Source organism: Homo sapiens, chromosome 6 (assembly GCF_000001405.40).
Source record: "Homo sapiens chromosome 6, GRCh38.p14 Primary Assembly".
In the NCBI taxonomy this organism is placed as follows: domain Eukaryota; kingdom Metazoa; phylum Chordata; class Mammalia; order Primates; family Hominidae; genus Homo; species Homo sapiens.
The window spans coordinates 133144086-133161421 of record NC_000006.12 but is presented as its reverse complement, the minus strand read 5'-3'; the positions used below and the strand labels follow the sequence as shown (position 1 = coordinate 133161421).

At 39.9% G+C, this 17336-nt stretch overlaps 1 pseudogene, besides 2 other annotated features; it reads right to left on the bottom strand.

The window, feature by feature from the left end:
- Positions 242–411: an enhancer, noted in NCBI's record as "experimental_89904 CRE fragment used in MPRA reporter constructs". NCBI's record gives its function as "activates a minimal promoter by MPRAs in K562 erythroleukemia cells, with activity observed for the non-introgressed 6:133482235 variant allele {active_cell/tissue: K562}" and the evidence as "EXISTENCE:reporter gene assay evidence [ECO:0000049][PMID:34662402]".
- Positions 10594–10875, bottom strand: MTCYBP4 (MT-CYB pseudogene 4; annotated as a pseudogene).
- Positions 11650–11819: an enhancer, noted in NCBI's record as "experimental_89898 CRE fragment used in MPRA reporter constructs". NCBI's record gives its function as "activates a minimal promoter by MPRAs in K562 erythroleukemia cells, with activity observed for both the introgressed and non-introgressed 6:133470827 variant alleles {active_cell/tissue: K562}" and the evidence as "EXISTENCE:reporter gene assay evidence [ECO:0000049][PMID:34662402]".

Here is a 17336-nt window from a genome sequence, read left to right as displayed (position 1 = left end):
GCAAGGAGGCTTATCCAGAGAGACCATTTCCTTTGTTTCTCCTACAGAAGGCAGTCTAATGGCCTCCTGAAACACTGATGAGATCTATCTTACACAGGTTGGTTCATGCTCTAGATTAATGTGTCTCTAGCTGTGGCCACAAAATCCAGCAGGCAAGCAAGTGATTGTGAATAGTCCACAATGCACTTCCCTATAAAGTCAAGCATTATCTTTATGCGGTGTTAGCTTCACATATAATGAATTTATGCTGTGATTAACTAGATACTAATAATTAAAAGCATCTCTGAATTCATTCATGGAGTAACAAAAATATCACTGATTACATTATGTGGCAGCAGAGGGAACTGTTGACACTTAACACAGAATCTTTGTACAACAAAATTTGGGACTCTAGGTCTTAAACCATTCTTTCATTTTCATTTAAATACTCAATACATTAATAGGAACAAATGTGAAATGCTATGACATTAATGTGAAAACTGCAACTTTATGAATACAACAAGTGCCCCTTTATCTGAGGGGATATGTTCCAAGAGCCTCAGTGGATGCCTGAAGCCTCAGATGGTACCGAACCCTATACATGCTATGTGTTTTCAATCTAATAAGCAAGGGGGTTCCCAAGTGACTAACTGGTGGATAGTGTATGCAGCATGGATACACTAGACAAAGGAGTGGTTCATGTCCTGCCTAGAACGGAGTGGGATGGTGAGAGATTTCATCACACTACTCATAATGGGGCATAATTGAAAACATATGAATTGTTTATTTCTAGACTTTTTCATTTATTATTTTTGGACTGCAGTTGACTGCAGGTAACTGAACTTTGGAAAGGAAAGCCACAGAGAAGGCAAAGGACTACTGTAAATTTTTCATTGAGAAGCTCTTTAAAGAATGTACCTTTCAAAAATAATTGTTGTTTCAATTTGCATATCCCCACGGGAAAAGAAAATGATCAATGGTAGCACTGCTTAGTGAGTTTCACTTTGCAAAATCACAGCTTCATATAATCACTTGTTAATTTGACTCAAGATGAGCTCATGACATCACTTGCATAGTATTCCCTAGCAAAAGCCATTTGGGTTTTTGGACATGACACATGGCAAGAGCCTTGCAGACGACAGTCCAGCTTCAGGGGAAAACAGATTTGCTTGTGCTTTGCTAGTGTCCTCTCTAGTCCTCTCCCTTGCAGGTCAACACTGAACATCAAGATACTGCTTAGGAGAACTCTGTTAACTTTTTGTATTTATTTGCCAACCCCCAGAGCATCAGTGACTTGCTTGCTGTTCCCCTGAAAATTAACTTGGCAAGTATTGAAGGCTTAGGAGGAAATCAATACAATGTGTAAACAGACTGACTAGAAACCCTTGCTCATTTTCTGTAATCAACAAGTCATTAATCAACAACAAATACTTATTGAGCACATCCTATCTGACTTGTTAGCTCTGATGAATTCACAATAGCCAAAGGGGCTATCACAGTGCTTTTAAACAGCCTTCCCCTCTGGTAAACCTTCCCCATTGCTCCTGTGTATTTAGTTCCCTGTATCACATGCATATGAAGGAAAATGACCCTTCCTACTTCGTGTATTTCAGAGAGAAAAGGTTCAGATCCACCTGTCCTTGGAGAGCCTGAACCAGATTAGCAACCTAGCTGATCTTTGCACAGTTAACCTGTGTGTGGTTATGGTGTTTGAGAGACTCATTTATTAATCCAACATGTATTTATTCAGCGCTATAACATTTGAGGCTCTATGACATATATAGGTTGAGCTGGAGATAAAGGCTCTAGAGACAGAGGAAGCATTCTAATGAGCTCAGTCACAGTCATGGCATTAAAATGCACTTTACTATTTGCTGATGTGTAGAAATACAGAGTATCAGAATGTTAGAACTGGGCTCTGAACACTTCCCCTATAGGAGGAAGAAAATGCAAAGTACAGATAGACCATCTGCTCTCCTTTCTTGGCATTTGAAAATGAGACTCTGTGTGAGAAGCTCTGGGATGGCCTTTTGCTGTTCTGTGGGGCTGCTTTGCATAGATTCATCAGCTCTGGGAACAGCAAGTCCTCCAAAGAGAAAGGGGAAATCTGGCTCATTGCATTCTGTCAAGTAAAAGAGGAAAATTCACGTTTGAAACACCTTGAAGGTTACTAGAGAAAAGAATCACATAAATGCACTCCTTTTCCCCAAGGCTAGGCTACTGTCAGCAGAAGATGATTGAGTTAGCAAAGGCATTTCCCCTTTTTTCTAAAATTTTCAGCATTGTAAATTCCACCCATACATACACACTGCCCCTACTTGACACCCCCCCTTAAACACACCCTTTACAGACAGCATCTGAGTCTGCCAACTTTGTAAACCTTCTTATTGAACTAGGCCAGACTTCTCATCACAAACATATACCATGGAGGAAATAGCTGAAATGGCTTAAATGGTTTAAACTAGCCATTCCATTGTACTGGTGAGAAAGGAAAATGAGAAATACAAACTAAATAATTATGCGCTGTTTACATCTGTAAAATGGTGCAGAAAACTTATGCAGACTTTACTTTTTGTTCTACCTTAATGTTCTCAAAACAATTGCTCTACTTCCCTTATGGTTAGGGATCAATATAGAGAACCACAGAAGAACATCTCTTTCTGAAGGAATGAATGACAGCATTATATATACCAATTATTTCATTATTGTTCATTGGCCCAAGAATTTATACATAATATGCACACTATAGGTTTATTTATATTTATTTTTAATACTTAGTGATGATGCCATTATATGTTTTTAAACTTTTAAATTTAATTCTGTAACTGGTCGCAGGAAAAAAAAGTCCACTTTTGTGTGGATGAATTTGTAAGAAAGATCCAGGTATCTTATAATTCCTTTCTCTTTTATTGTTCCATTTTAAAACTTCCTACTAATTTTCTACCTTTTCTCATTGGCCCAAGTAGTATTAGAGCTTTTATTACTCCTTAATGTTTTATCTCATTATTATTTTTTGCTCCATTACTAATACTCACAAATAGGACATCAGCACATGTAAAAACCATTTGGTATACTCCAGACCATGAGATCCAGGAGACTCCTGCTACCTGGAAAGGACTTGATTCATTTAGCATTGCTCATTTAAAATATTTTCTTTGGTTAGTCTAATGCTTGTTTTAAATACTTGCGTGCTTCACTTTAAGATTTATTACCCCCATTAGCATTGCTTTGCTGAAACTGCAGTATGCATTCTAACAAGTATCTACAATTTATGATGGTAAGTTCAAAGTTGTGTAATTATTGTTGTAATTTCCAACTCATTCACTTGTCACTTTTTATTTCCAGGCCTTCCCACAAAAATTTCCAAAATTAAAAAGGCTCTTGTCCAACTTGGTCTTTGTTCGCAAGTTAATCATTTTAGCTTTTAGTGAAGCAAAAATCTGCCTTAAAATATATCATTCTTTTTTTTCCTATTTAATGTACAAAGATGGGTCACCAAAGCTCAGAAAATCTGGCAAAGTGAAACACTCAAATGGCTGATTTGCTAAATGTAATATTTTCGGAATATAATGTTTTTAACTAATATTTCAGAGTTAATGGATAAAAGTATAGTAAGCTTTCTTCCAACATGTTTTTGAAATCTCAGTTGAGAAGACCTTGCTAGACTGCACAGAGAAATGAAGCTTAGTCTTATTTCCCTCTCTAATTCATCCATGCATGTAGATAAAGCCACTGTAGTCAAGAAGTGTTATTTGAGCAGCAACACCATGCACTGCATTTTCATCAGTATCCTGTTTTTCTGCTATTGCCGATTTTCACCATTAACCATTTTTCTAGCCAGTACTTTGACAACAACTGAAGGATCACATTTGCATTTCACAGAGGTTCTCATGTACCAGTCTTTGGGTCCAGTAGGTGCTTGGTCTTAGTTTTTCAAAAATGTATCTCCTCCCATGTAACAAGATCATCTCTCATTGATTATAACAAAAAGTTATGATCAACTGACAGAATATGGCATGCATATTTTCAAGAAATATTTGTTTCTTGCCATAGCAAATTACTGGGTTTCAAAAAAAAGGTTTTTTTTTCTACAATAGTTGAATCGTCCATTGAAAATTTTCAGGAAAGTTGTTTGCCTGTTGGTAATCCTAGTATCTATTTTTTAAACTTTTTGTAGGAGTGAAATCCTTCCTCCAAATAAAATATAAGCATAAATTCCAATACATAAAAAGACAAAATGAAGTTTCTCTGGTTAAGGTGAGGGTAGTGATTTAGAGCCGCATCAGCTCAGCTCTTCTTTTGCTGGTTAAGATGGTTTCTGAGGCAACTCTAAGGACTCCTAAAGCTCTGAAAAGTGAAGTGCTTCAACACCATTCTCCTAAGGTTTTACTTTTATCCTTTTAGCTATAGATATTATGAGTTAACAGGCATGAGGCATACACAGTTTCATGGAAATCAACGTCAAGTAAGGGAGGTAACATCTGCATTTGTCACTCTGGAGCTAACCCAAATGACAGATCTAAATTCAAATCTTGAACAAGTTGCATCATCTTTTGTAGCTTTAGTTTCTTTCTCCAAAATTCATCATTAATCACCTACCTTGCACAAATGTTGCTAGGAAAAATGTAATAACATATAAAAAGACCTCAGTAAATGTTAGTTCTCATCCCATGTAGCTATCAATTCTTCTTTTGATAACTTGGTATTTCAAACAATTTTGTAGATCATCTATAAAGCTCTTGTTATTATGTATACAGGCAAAGCTCATTTTATTGTGCTTCACAGATATTGTTTTTGTTTTATTTTTTACAAATTGAAGGTGTATGGCAACGCTGCGTCACCATTTTCCAACAATATCTGCATATTTTGTCTGTGTCACATTTTTAGTAATTTTCACAGTATTTCAAACTTTTTCATTATTATTATATCTGTTATGATGATCTGTAATCAGTGATCTTTGATGTTGCTATTGTAGTTGTTTTGAGGCACCACAAACTGTGCCCATGTAAGACGGTATACTTAACCCATAAATGTTAGGTGTGTTCTGATTCCTCCACCACCCCAGCCATTCATTCCACTGTCTCTCCTCCTCTTTCTGTTACCTGAGACACAACAAATTGAAATTAAATCAACTAATAACCCTACAATAGCCTTTAAGTGTTTAAGCAAAAGGAAGATTCCTTCACTTTAAATCAAAAGCCAAAAATGATTAAGCTTAGTGGGGAAGCTATGTCAAAAGTTGAGATAGGCTGAAAGCTAGGCCTCTTGCACCAGTTAACCAAGTTGTAAATGCAATGGAAAAGTTCCTGAATGACACTGAAAGTGCTACTTCAGTGAACACGCAAATTAAAAGAAAGTGAAAGCCTTATTGCTAATACGGAGGAAGTTGTAGTAGTTTGGATAGAAGGTCAAACCAGCCACAACATTCCATTTCAAAACCTAATAAAGAGCAGGGCCTAATTCTCTTCAATTCTATGAAGGCTGAGAGAGGTGAGGAAGAGCAGAAGAAAAGTTAGACACTAACAGATGTTGGTTCATGAGGTTTATGGAAAGAAGCTGTCTCCATAACATAAAAGTGCAAGGTGAAGCAGTAAGTGCTTATATAGAAACTGCAGCAAGTTTATTCAGAAGATCTAGCTAAGATCACTAATGAAGATGGCTATGCTAAACAACAGATTTTCAATGTAGACAAAACAGCCTTCTATTGCAAGCATATGCCATCTCGGACTTTTGTAGCTAGAGAAGTCAATGCTTGGCTTTGAAACTTCAAAGGACAAGCTGACCCTCTTGTTATGGGTTAACGTGCTGCTGAACTTTAAGTGGAAGCCAATGCTTATTTGCCAGTCCAGGAACCCTAGGGCTTTTAAAAATTATGCTAAATTGGGAGGATCTGGCAAGATGGCCAAATAGGAAGAGCTATGGTCTGTAGCTCCCAGCGAGACCAACACAGAAGGTGGGTGATCTCTGCATTTCCAAGAGAGGTATCCGGTTCATCTCATTGGGATTGGTTAGACAGTGGGTGCAGCCTACGGAGGGTGAGCAGAAGCATGTTGGGGCATTGCCTCACCCGGGAAGTGCAAGGGGTTGGGAAACTCCCTCCCCTAGCCAAGGGAAGCCATGAGGGACAGTGCCCTGAGGGACAATGCTATCTGGCCCAGATACTACATTTTTCCCATGGATTTGCAACCCACAGAGCAGAAGATTCCCTCGGGTGCCTATACCACCAGGGCCCTGGGTTTCAAACATAAAACTGGGCAGGTATTTGGGCAGACACTGAGCTAGCTGCAGGAGTTTTTTTATTGTTGTTGTTGCTGTTGTTGTTGTTGTTTTGTACCCCACTGGCACCTGAAACTCCAGCGAGACAGAAACATTCACTCCCCTGGAAAGGGGGCTGAAGCCAGGAAGCCAAGTCGTCTTGCTCAGCAGGTCCCACCCCTCATGGACCCAGCAAGCTAATATCCACTGGCTTGAAATTCTCACTGCCAGCCCAGAAGTCTGAAGTCGACCTGGGTTGCTCAAGGTTGGTGTGGTGAGGGGCACCCACCATTACTAAGGCTTGAGTAGGCGGTTTTCCCCTCACAGTGTAAACAAAGCTGCCTGGAAGTTCAAACTAGGCAGAATGCACTGCAGTGTAAAGCCACTGTAGCCAGACTGCCTCTCTAGATTCCTCCTCTCTGGACAGGGCATCTCTGAAAGAAAGGCAGCAGCCCCAGTCAGGAGCTTATGCATAAAACTCCTGTCTCCCTGGGACAGAACACAAGGGAGAAGGGGTGGCTATGGGCACAGCTTCAGCAGACTTAAATATTCCTGCCTGCCAGCTCTGAAGACAGCAGCAGATCTCCCAGCACAGTACTAGAGCACTGCTAAGGGACAGACTGCCTCCTCGAGTGGGTCCCTGACCCCTGTGCTTCCTAATGGAGAGACACCTCCCAGCAGGGGTCGACAGACATCTCATATAGGAGAGCTCTGGCTGGCATCTGGTGGGTGCCCCTCTGGGACAAAGCTTCCAGAGAAAGGAACAGGCAGCAATCTTTGCTGTTCTGCAGCCTCCACTGGTGATACCCAGGCAAACAGGGTCTGGAGTGGACCTCCAGTAAACTCCGGCAGACCCACAGAAGAGGGGCCTGTCTGTTAGAAGGAAAACTAACAAACAGAAGGCAGTAACATCAACATCAACAAAAAGGACACCCATGCAAAAACCCCATCCAAAGGTCATCAGCATCAAGGATCAAAGGTAAGTAAATCCACAAAGATGAGGAAAAACCAGTGCAAAAATGCTGAAAATTCCAAAAACCAGAATGCTTCTTCTCCTCCAAAGGATCACAACTCCTCTCCAGCAAGGGAACAAAACTGGATGAAGGATGAGTTTGACGAATTGAAAGAAGTAGGCTTCAGAAGGTGGGTAATAACAAACTCCTCCAAGCTTAAGGAGCATGTTCTAACCCCACGCAAGGAAGCTAAAAACCTTGATAAAAGGTTACAGGAACTGCTAACTAGAATGACCAGTTTAGAGAAGAATATAAATGACCTGATGGAGCTGAAAAACACAGCACGAGAACTTCGTGAAGCATACACAAGTATCAATAGCCAAATCAATCAAGCAGAAGAAAGGATATCAGAGATTGAATATCAACTTAATGAAATAAAGCATGAAGACAAGATTAGAGAAAAAAGAATGAAAAGGAACAAACAAATCCTCCAAGAAATATGGGACTATGTGAAAAGACCAAACCTACGATTGATTGGGGTACCTGAAAGCGATGAGGAGAATGGAGCCAAGTTGGAAAATACACTTCAGGATATTATCCAGGAGAACTTCCCTAACCTAGCAAGACAGGCCAACATTCAAATTCAGGAAATACAGAGAACACCACAAAGATACTCCTCAAGAAGAGCAACCCTAAGACAAATAATCATCAGATCCAGAGTTGAAACGACGAAAAAAATGTTCAGGGCACCCAGAAAGGTCTGATTACCCACAAAGGGAAGCCCATCAGACTAACAGTGAATCTCTCTGCAGAAACCCTACAAACCAGAAGAGAGTGGGGACTAATATTCAACGTTCTTAGAGAAAAGAATTTTCAACCCAGAATTTCAGATCCAGCCAAACTAAGCTTCATAAGTGAAGGAGAAATAAAATCCTTTACGGAGAAGAAAATGCTGAGGGATTTTGTCACCACTAGGCCTGCCTTACAAGAGCTCCTGAAGGAAGCACTAAATATGGAAAGGAAGGAGCAGTACCAGTCACTGCAAAAACATACCAAAATATAAAGACCAACGACACTATGAAGAAACTGCATCAACTGATGTGCAAAATAACCAGCTAGCATCATGATGACAGGATCAAATTCACACGTAACATTAACTTTAAATGTAAGTGGGCTAAATGCCCCAATTAAAAGACACAGACTGGCAAATTGGAGAAAGAGTCAAGACCCATCGGTATACTATATTCAGGAGACCCATCTCATGTACAAAGACACACCCAGGCTCAAAATAAAGGGATGGAGGAATATTAGCAGCAAATGGAAAGCAAAATAAAGCAGAGGTTGCAATCCTAGTCTTTGGTAAAACAGATTTTAAACCAACAAAGATCAAAAAAGGCAAGGAAGGGCATTACATAATGGTAAAGGGATGAATACAAAGAGAAGAGCTAACTATTCTCAATATATATGTACCCAATACAGGAGCACCCAGATTCATAAAGAATGTTCTTAGAGATCTACAAAGAGACTTAGACTCCCGCACAATAATAGTGGGAGACTTTAACACCCCACTGTCAATATTAGACAGATCAACGAGACAGAAAATTAACAAGGATATCCAGGACTTGAACTCAGCTCTGGACCAAGCAGACCTAATGGACATCTGCAGAACTCTCCACCCCATATCAACAGAATATACATTCTTCTCAGCACCACATCACACTTATTCTAAAATTGACCACATAATCGGAAGTAAAACACTCCTCACCAAATGCAAGAGAACGGAAATCATAACAAACAGTCTCTCAGACCACAGTGCAATCAAATTAGAACCTAGGATTAAGAAACTCACTCAAAACCACACAACTGCATGGAAACTGAACAATCTGCTCCTGCATAACTACTGGGTAAATAGCAAAATTAAGGCAGAAATAAATAAGTTCTTTGAAACCAATGAGAACAAAGACACAACATGCCAGAATCTCTGGGACACAGCTAAAGGAGTATTTAGAGGGAAATTTATAGCACTAAATGCCCACATAAGAAAGGGGGAAAGATCTAAAATCGACACCCTAATATCACAATTAAAAGATCTAGAGAGGCAAGAGCAAACAAATTCAAAAGCTAGCAGAAGACAAGAAATAACTAAGTTCAGAGCAGAACTGAAGGAGATAGAGAAACAAAAAAAACCCTTCAAAAAATCAGTGAATCTAGGAGCTGGTTTTCTGAAAAGATTAACAAAATAGATAGATCACTAGCCAGACTAATAAAGAAGGAAAGAGAGGGGAATCAAATAGACACAATAAAGAATGATAAAGGGGCTATCACCACTGATACCACAGAAATACAAACTACCATCAGAGAATACCATAAACACCTCTACACAAATAAACTAGAAAATCTAGAAGAAATGGATAAATTCCTGGACACATACACCCTCCCAAGACGAAACCAGGAAGAAATCGAATCCCTGAATAAACCAATAACAAGTTCTGAAGCTGATGCAGTAATTAATAGCCTACCAACCAAAAAATGCCCAAGTCGAGACGGATTCACAGCTGAATTCTACCAGAGATACAAAGAGGTGCTAGTACCATTCCTTCTGAAACTATTCCAATCAATAGAAAAAGGAGAATCCTCCCTAATTCATTTTATGAGGCCAGCATCGTCCTGATACCAAAACCCTGCAGAGACACAACAAAAAAAGGAAAATTTCAGGCCAATATCCCTGATGAACATCAACGTGAAAATCCTCAACAAAATACTGGCAAACTGAATCCAGCAGCACATCAAAAAGCTTATCCACCATGATCAAGTCGGCTTCATCCCTGGGATGCAAGGTTGGTTCAAAATATGCAAATCAATAAATGTAATCTATCACATAAACAGAACTAATGACAAAAACCACATGATTATCTCAATAGATGTAGAAAAGGCCATCGATAAAATTCAACACCTGTTCATGCTAAAAACACTCAATAAACTAGGTATTGTTGGTACATATCTCAAAATAATAAGAGCTATTTATGACAAACCCACAGCCAATATCATACTGAATGGGCAAAAGCTGGAAGCATTCCCTTTGAAAACCAGCACAAGACAAGGATGCCCTCTCTTACCACTCCTATTCAACATAGTATTGGAAGTTCTGACCAGGGCAATTAGGCAAGAGAAAGAAATAAAGGGTATTCATATAGGAAGAGAGAAAGTCAAATGGTCTCTGTTTGTAGATGACATGATAGTGTATTTAGAAAACCCCATCGCCTCAGCCCAAAAACTTCTTAAGCTGATAAGCAACTTCAGCAAAATCTCAGGATACAAAATCAATGGCAAAAATCACAAGCATTCCTATACACCAATAACAGAAAAACAGAGAGCCAAATCATGAGTGAAATCCCATTCACAATTGCTACAAATTGTGAATTGATAATAGGAGGGCTAATACGCCTCCTAGTTTTTTGGGAATGGACCGTAGGATTGCGTAGGCGAATAGAAAGTAACATTCGGGTTTAATGTGGGGTGGGGTGTTTAGGGGGTTGGCTAGGGTATAGTTGTCTGGGTCGCCTAGAAGGTCGGGTGAGAATAGTACCAGTGTTATTAGGGCGAGGAGGAGGAGAAATAGGCCTAGGATTTCTTTAGTTGTGTAGTAGGGGTGGAAGGTAATTTTGTCATGTTTGTAGACATGGGAATTCAACTTACAAGGGATGTGAAGGACTTCTTCAAGGAGAACTACAAACCACTGTTCAAGGAAATAAGAGAAGACACAAGCAAATGGAAAAACATTCCATGCTCATGGATAGGGAGAATCAATATCATGAAAATGGCCATACTGCCCAAAGTCATTTATAGATTCAATGCTAGCTCTAGGATCATCCTGATAACCTTTCTCTTTGATCCTTTTGAATGACTACAATGTTCTACCCTCTTCTATTCATTCTCTATGATTCAGTCTTCTTTTCCAGAAGTCGTAACTTCCATTTCAGGTGGTGCAGTTCAGTTTATACTCTAAGCCAGGATCTGGATCCAGCACGGGTGCTATGATCCCAAAACCTGCTGACCTCTATCATTCCGTTTGTCTCTGACCACACCTAACTGCTCTCTGCTTTTGTCCAGACCTCTTGCCAGGCATTCCAATATGTTCTTATTTCTAATTCATGTAGATGACACATCTATATCACATCACGAGACATATTCTACATCCAATTCATAATTCACCCTTCAAGTTCTCAGGTTCATCAACTTCCCCCTGATTTTTCCTAGTACCAATTCAAGTGCCCTCCAGGAGGGTGGTCTTCTGAAATCTATAGTAACAGTTTTACAGTACCAAAATATTTCAAGTGGACAATGGAAAAAAATCACTATAATTTACTACAAAGGAGAAGGAAAGCTTTTGAATTAAAGCCTTATTTATGCCAGCATTTCTAAAAATGTTTAATTCTGGATAAAAATTGTTGTGTCTTAACATTCTGGAAGCATTAAAGTCATAACAAGATTTATTATATTTTTGTTCAATTCAGTGGCATTGGACGTCAATGCCACACCTTCATGAATTTTGTATGCCATGTATATTCCAGCAGAATAATAGTGCTCAAAGATTCAGAGTTTGTTTATATATGGGCTGCCAAAATGTATAAAACACTATAGGTGTCAAATATTGTTATTACTAAAGCAAATATGATCAGGTACTTCTTTCATGAAGCATAGCCGCAAAAGGACAACATTCTAAAGTCAAATACGGCTTGTAACCAATGAACGACTCTTCCATGTTAATTAGTGGTCATATATCTTTGAGTTTAATTAACTTGGAGAATACATACGTTAAGTATTGGATTTATGTTAATTTAGTGATTTTATGTCTCTGAGCCTGAGTAATTTGAAGAATACATCGATATATAGGCTTAACTGTGTGATTGGTTCAGAGATTACTTCTGATTACAAAGAATTGCTTTGGATATATTTTTCTTTATTTTTTATTTATTTTATTTTTTTTTAGATTGAGTCTCGCTCTGTTGCCCATGCTGGAGTGTAGTGGTGTGGTCCCAGCTCACTGCAACCTCTGCCTCCTGGGTTCAAGCAATTCTCCTCCCTCAACCTCTGAAGTAGCTTGGACTACAGGTGCACACCACCATGCCTGGCTAATTTTTGTATTTTTTTTTTTAATAGAGACAGGGTTTCACCATGTTGGCCAGGCTGGTCTTGAACTCCTGACCTCAGGTGATCTGCCCTCCCTGGTCTCCCAAAGTGCTGGGATTACAGGCGTGAGCCACTGTGCCCAGCCTTGAATTTGCATTTCTATATGCCATAGTCACAGGCTAGAAAAACAAAACAAAACAATAATTAAACCAATTTGGCCATTCTGCTAGGGCTTAGTCTTTTCCGTTTTGGAGGGAGATGTTGAGGAATAGAGGATGGAAGAGAAAAAAATGGATTTAGGTCATTCAAGGGAGAATCAAATTCAGCTGCAGTTAAGCAAATTAATTACTCAATTACATGCCACACTTTTGAACTCTTCTATAGTATGTATCCTTTGTCATTCTAACTTGAGTCTCATGTGCACCATCAGTACAATTTATGGCCCACTACTATTTTAGTTTGTTATTCATCATTTAAAATAAATTTTCCTGTGCATGAGACTATGTCTTTCCTCTTTGCAAGAGTGATTGTAGATATTTAGGGGACGCATGCCCACAAAACGGGGAGAAGTTATATTTTGAATATAAATATGGGGTCTACATTTTTAAAAATGTAATAAGTATCTATTGGAATGATTTGGTTATATTTTCTAGAAGATCTGAAAGTTTCAGTTTCTATATCTAATAAGATAGAATAAATTTCAAAGAAAAATAATATTTGGAGTCTGAAGAGAGAAGTATTGTGCATGTAGGAAAACTTCTGTGGTCAATGATATGCAATAAGATGATTTAGTATCAGCCTTACTTCCCCTAGGAGAAAAGCTTTTGGTAGCTGTTGTATGATTAAAGTATATTTTTCTATTACTCTGTTCTCATGCTGCTAATAAAGACATACCAGTGGCTGGGTAATTTACAAAAGAAAGAAATTTAACGGACTCACAGTTCCACATGGCTGGAGACGCCTCACAATCATGGAAGAAGGCAAAGAAGAAATGAAGTCAGGAGGAACCAAGATGGCCGAATAGGAACAGCTGCGGTCTACAGCTCTCAGCGTGAGAGATGCAGAAGACGGGTGATTTCTGCATTTCCATCTGAGGTACCCGGTTCATCTCACTAGGGTGTGCCAGACAGTGGGCGCAGGTCAGTGGGTGCGTGCACCGTGCGCGAGCTGAAGCAGGGCGAGGCATTGCCTCACTCAGGAAGTGCAAGGGTTCAGAGAGTTCCCTTTCCTAGTCAAAGAAAGGGGTGACAGACGGCACCTGGAAAATCGGGTCACTCCCACCCAAATACTGCGCTTTTCCGACGGGCTTAAAAAACGGCGCACCACGAGATTATATCCTGCACCTGGCGCCGAGGGTCCTACGCCCACGGAGTCTCGCTGATTGCTAGCACAGCAGTCTGAGATCAAACTGCAAGGCCGCAGCGAGGCTGGGGGAGGGGCGCCCGCCATTGCCCAGGCTTGATTAGGTAAACAAAACAGCCTGGAAGCTTGAAGTGGGTGGAGCCCACCACAGCTCAAGGAGGCCTGCCTGCCTCTGTAGGCTCCACCTCTGGGGGCAGGGCACAGACAAACAAAAAGACAGCAGTAACCTCTGCAGACTTAAATGTCCCTGTCTGACAGCTTTGAAGAGAGCAGTGGTTCTCCCAGTATGCAGCTGGAGATCTGAGAACGGGCAGACTGCCTCCTCAAGTGGGTCCCTGACCCCTGACCCCTGACCCCTGAGCAGCCTAACTGGGAGGCACTCCCCAGCAGGGGAACACTGACACCTCACAAGGCAGGGTACTCCAACAGACCTGCAGCTGAGGGTCCTGTCTGTTAGAAGGAAAACTAACAAACAGAAAGGACATCCACACCAAAAACCCATCTGTACATCACCATCATCAAAGACCAAAAGTAGATAAAACCACAAAGATGGGAAAAAAACAGAACAGAAAAACTGGAAACTCTAAAAAGCAGAGCACCTCTCCTCCTCCAAAAGAACGCAGTTCCTCACCAGCAACGGAACAAAGCTGGACGGAGAACGACTTTGACGAGCTGAGAGAAGAAGGCTTCAGACGATCAAATTACTCTGAGCTACGGGAGGACATTCAAACCAAAGGCAAAGAAGTTGAAAACTTTGAAAAAAATTTAGAAGAATGTATAACTAGAATAACCAATACAGAGAAGTGCTTAAAGGAGCTGATGGAGCTGAAAACCAAGGCTCGAGAACTACGTGAAGAATGCAGAAGCCTCAGGAGCCAATGTGATCAACTGGAAGAAAGGGTATCAGCAATGGAAGATGAAATGAATGAAATGAAGCGAGAAGGGAAGTTTAGAGAAAAAAGAATAAAAAGAAATGAGCAAAGCCTCCAAGAAATATGGGACTATGTGAAAAGACCAAATCTACATCTGATTGGTGTACCTGAAAGTGACGGGGAGAATAGAACCAAGTTGGAAAACACTCTGCAGGATATTATCCAGGAGAACTTCCCCAATCTAGCAAGGCAGGCCAACGTTCAGATTCAGGAAATACAGAGAACGCCACAAAGATACTCCTCGAGAAGAGCAACCCCAAGACACATAATTGTCAGATTCACCAAAGTTGAAGTGAAGGAAAAAATGTTAAGGGCAGCCAGAGAGAAAGGTCGGGTTACCCTCAAAGGGAAGCCCATCAGACTAACAGTGGATCTCTCGGCAGAAACCCTACAAGCCAGAAGAGAGTGGGGGCCGATATTCAACATTCTTAAAGAAAAGAATTTTCAACCCAGAATTTCATATCCAGCCAAACTAAGCTTCATACGTGAAGGAGAAATAAAATACTTTACAGACAAGCAAATGCTGAGAGATTTTGTCACCACCAGGCCTGCCCTAAAAGAGCTCCTGAAGGAAGCGCTAAACATGGAAAGAAACAACCAGTACCAGCTGCTGCAAAATCATGCCAAAATGTAAAGACCATCGAGACTAAGAAGAAGCTGCATCAACTAACGAGCAAAATAACCAGCTAACATCTTAACGACAGGATCAAATTCACACATAACAATATTAACTGTAAATGTAAATGGACTAAATGCTCCCATTAAAAGACACAGACTGGCAAATTGGATAGAGTCAAGACCCATCAGTGTGCTGTATTCAGGAAACCCATCTCACGTGCAGAGACACACATAGGCTCAAAATAAAAGGATGGAGGAAGATCTACCAAGCAAATGGAAAACAAAAAAAGGCAGGAGTTGCAATCCTAGTCTCGGATAAAACAGACTTTAAACCAACAAAGATCAAAAGAGACAAAGAAGGCCATTACATAATGGTAAAGGGATCAATTCAACAAGAAGAGCTAACTATCCTAAATATATATGCACCCAATACAGGAGCACCCAGATTCATAAAGCAAGTCCTGAGTGACCTACAAAGAGACTTAGACTCCCACACATTAATAATGGGAGACTTTAACACCCCACTGTCAACATTAGACAGATCAATGAGACAGAAAGTCAACAAGGATACCCAGGAATTGAACTCAGCTCTGCACCAAGTGGACCTAATAGACATCTACAGAACTCTCCACCCCAAATCAACAGAATATACATTCTTTTCAGCACCACACCACACCTATTCCAAAATTGACCACATACTTGGAAGTAAAGCTCTCCTCAGCAAATGTAAAAGAACAGAAATTATAACAAACTGTCTCTCAGACCACAGTGCAATCAAACTAGAACTCAGGATTAAGAATCTCACTCAAAACCGCTCAACTACATGGAAACTGAACAACCTGCTCCTGAATGACTACTGGGTACATAATGAAATGAAGGCAGAAATAAAGATGTTCTTTGAAACCAATGAGAACAAAGACACAACATACCAGAATCTCTGGGACGCATTCAAAGCAGTGTGTAGAGGGAAATTTATAGCACTAAATGCCCACAAGAGAAAGCAGGAAAGATCCAAAATTGACAACCTAACATCACAATTAAAAGAACTAGGAAAGCAAGAGCAAACACATTCAAAAGCTAGCAGAAGGCAAGAAATAACTAAAATCAGAGCAGAACTGAAGGAAATAGAGACACAAAAAACCCTTCAAAAAATTAATGAATCCAGGAACTGGTTTTTTGAAAGGATCAACAAAATAGATAGACTGCTAGCAAGACTAATAAAGAAAAAAAGAGAGAAGAATCAAATAGATGCAATAAAAAATGATAAAGGGGATATCACCACTGATCCCACAGAAATACAAACTACTATCAGAGAATACTACAGACACCTCTACGCAAATAAACTAGAAAATCTAGAAGAAATGGATAAATTCCTCGACACATACACTCTCCCAAGACTAAACCAAGAAGAAGTTGAATCTCTGAATAGACCAATAACAGGATCTGAAATTGTGGCAATAATCCATAGCTTACCAACCAAAAAGAGTCCAGGACCAGATGGATTCACAGCCAAATTCTACCAGAGGTACAAGGAGGAACTGGTACCATTCCTTCTGAAACTATTCCAATCAATAGAAAAAGAGGGTATCCTCCCTAACTCATTTTATGAGGCCAGCATCATTCTGATACCAAAGCTGGGCAGAGACACAACCAAAAAAGAGAATTTTAGACCAATATCCTTGATGAACGTTGATGCAAAAATCCTCAATAAAATACTGGCAAAACGAATCCAGCAGCACATCAAAAAGCTTATCCACCATGATCAGGTGGGCTTCATCCCTGGGATGCAAGGCTGGTTCAATATACGCAAATCAATAAATGTAATCCAGCATATAAACAGAGCCAAAGACAAAAACCACATGATTATCTCAATAGATGCAGAAAAGGCCTTTGACAAAATTCAACAACCCTTCATGCTAAAAACTCTCAATAAATTAGGTATCGATGGGATGTATTTCAAAATAATAAGAGCTATCTATGACAAACCCACAGCCAATATCATACTGAATGGGCAAAAACTGGAAGCATTCCCTTTGAAAACTGGCACAAGACAGGGATGCCCTCTCTCACCACTCCTATTCAACATAGTGTTGGAAGTTCTGGCCAG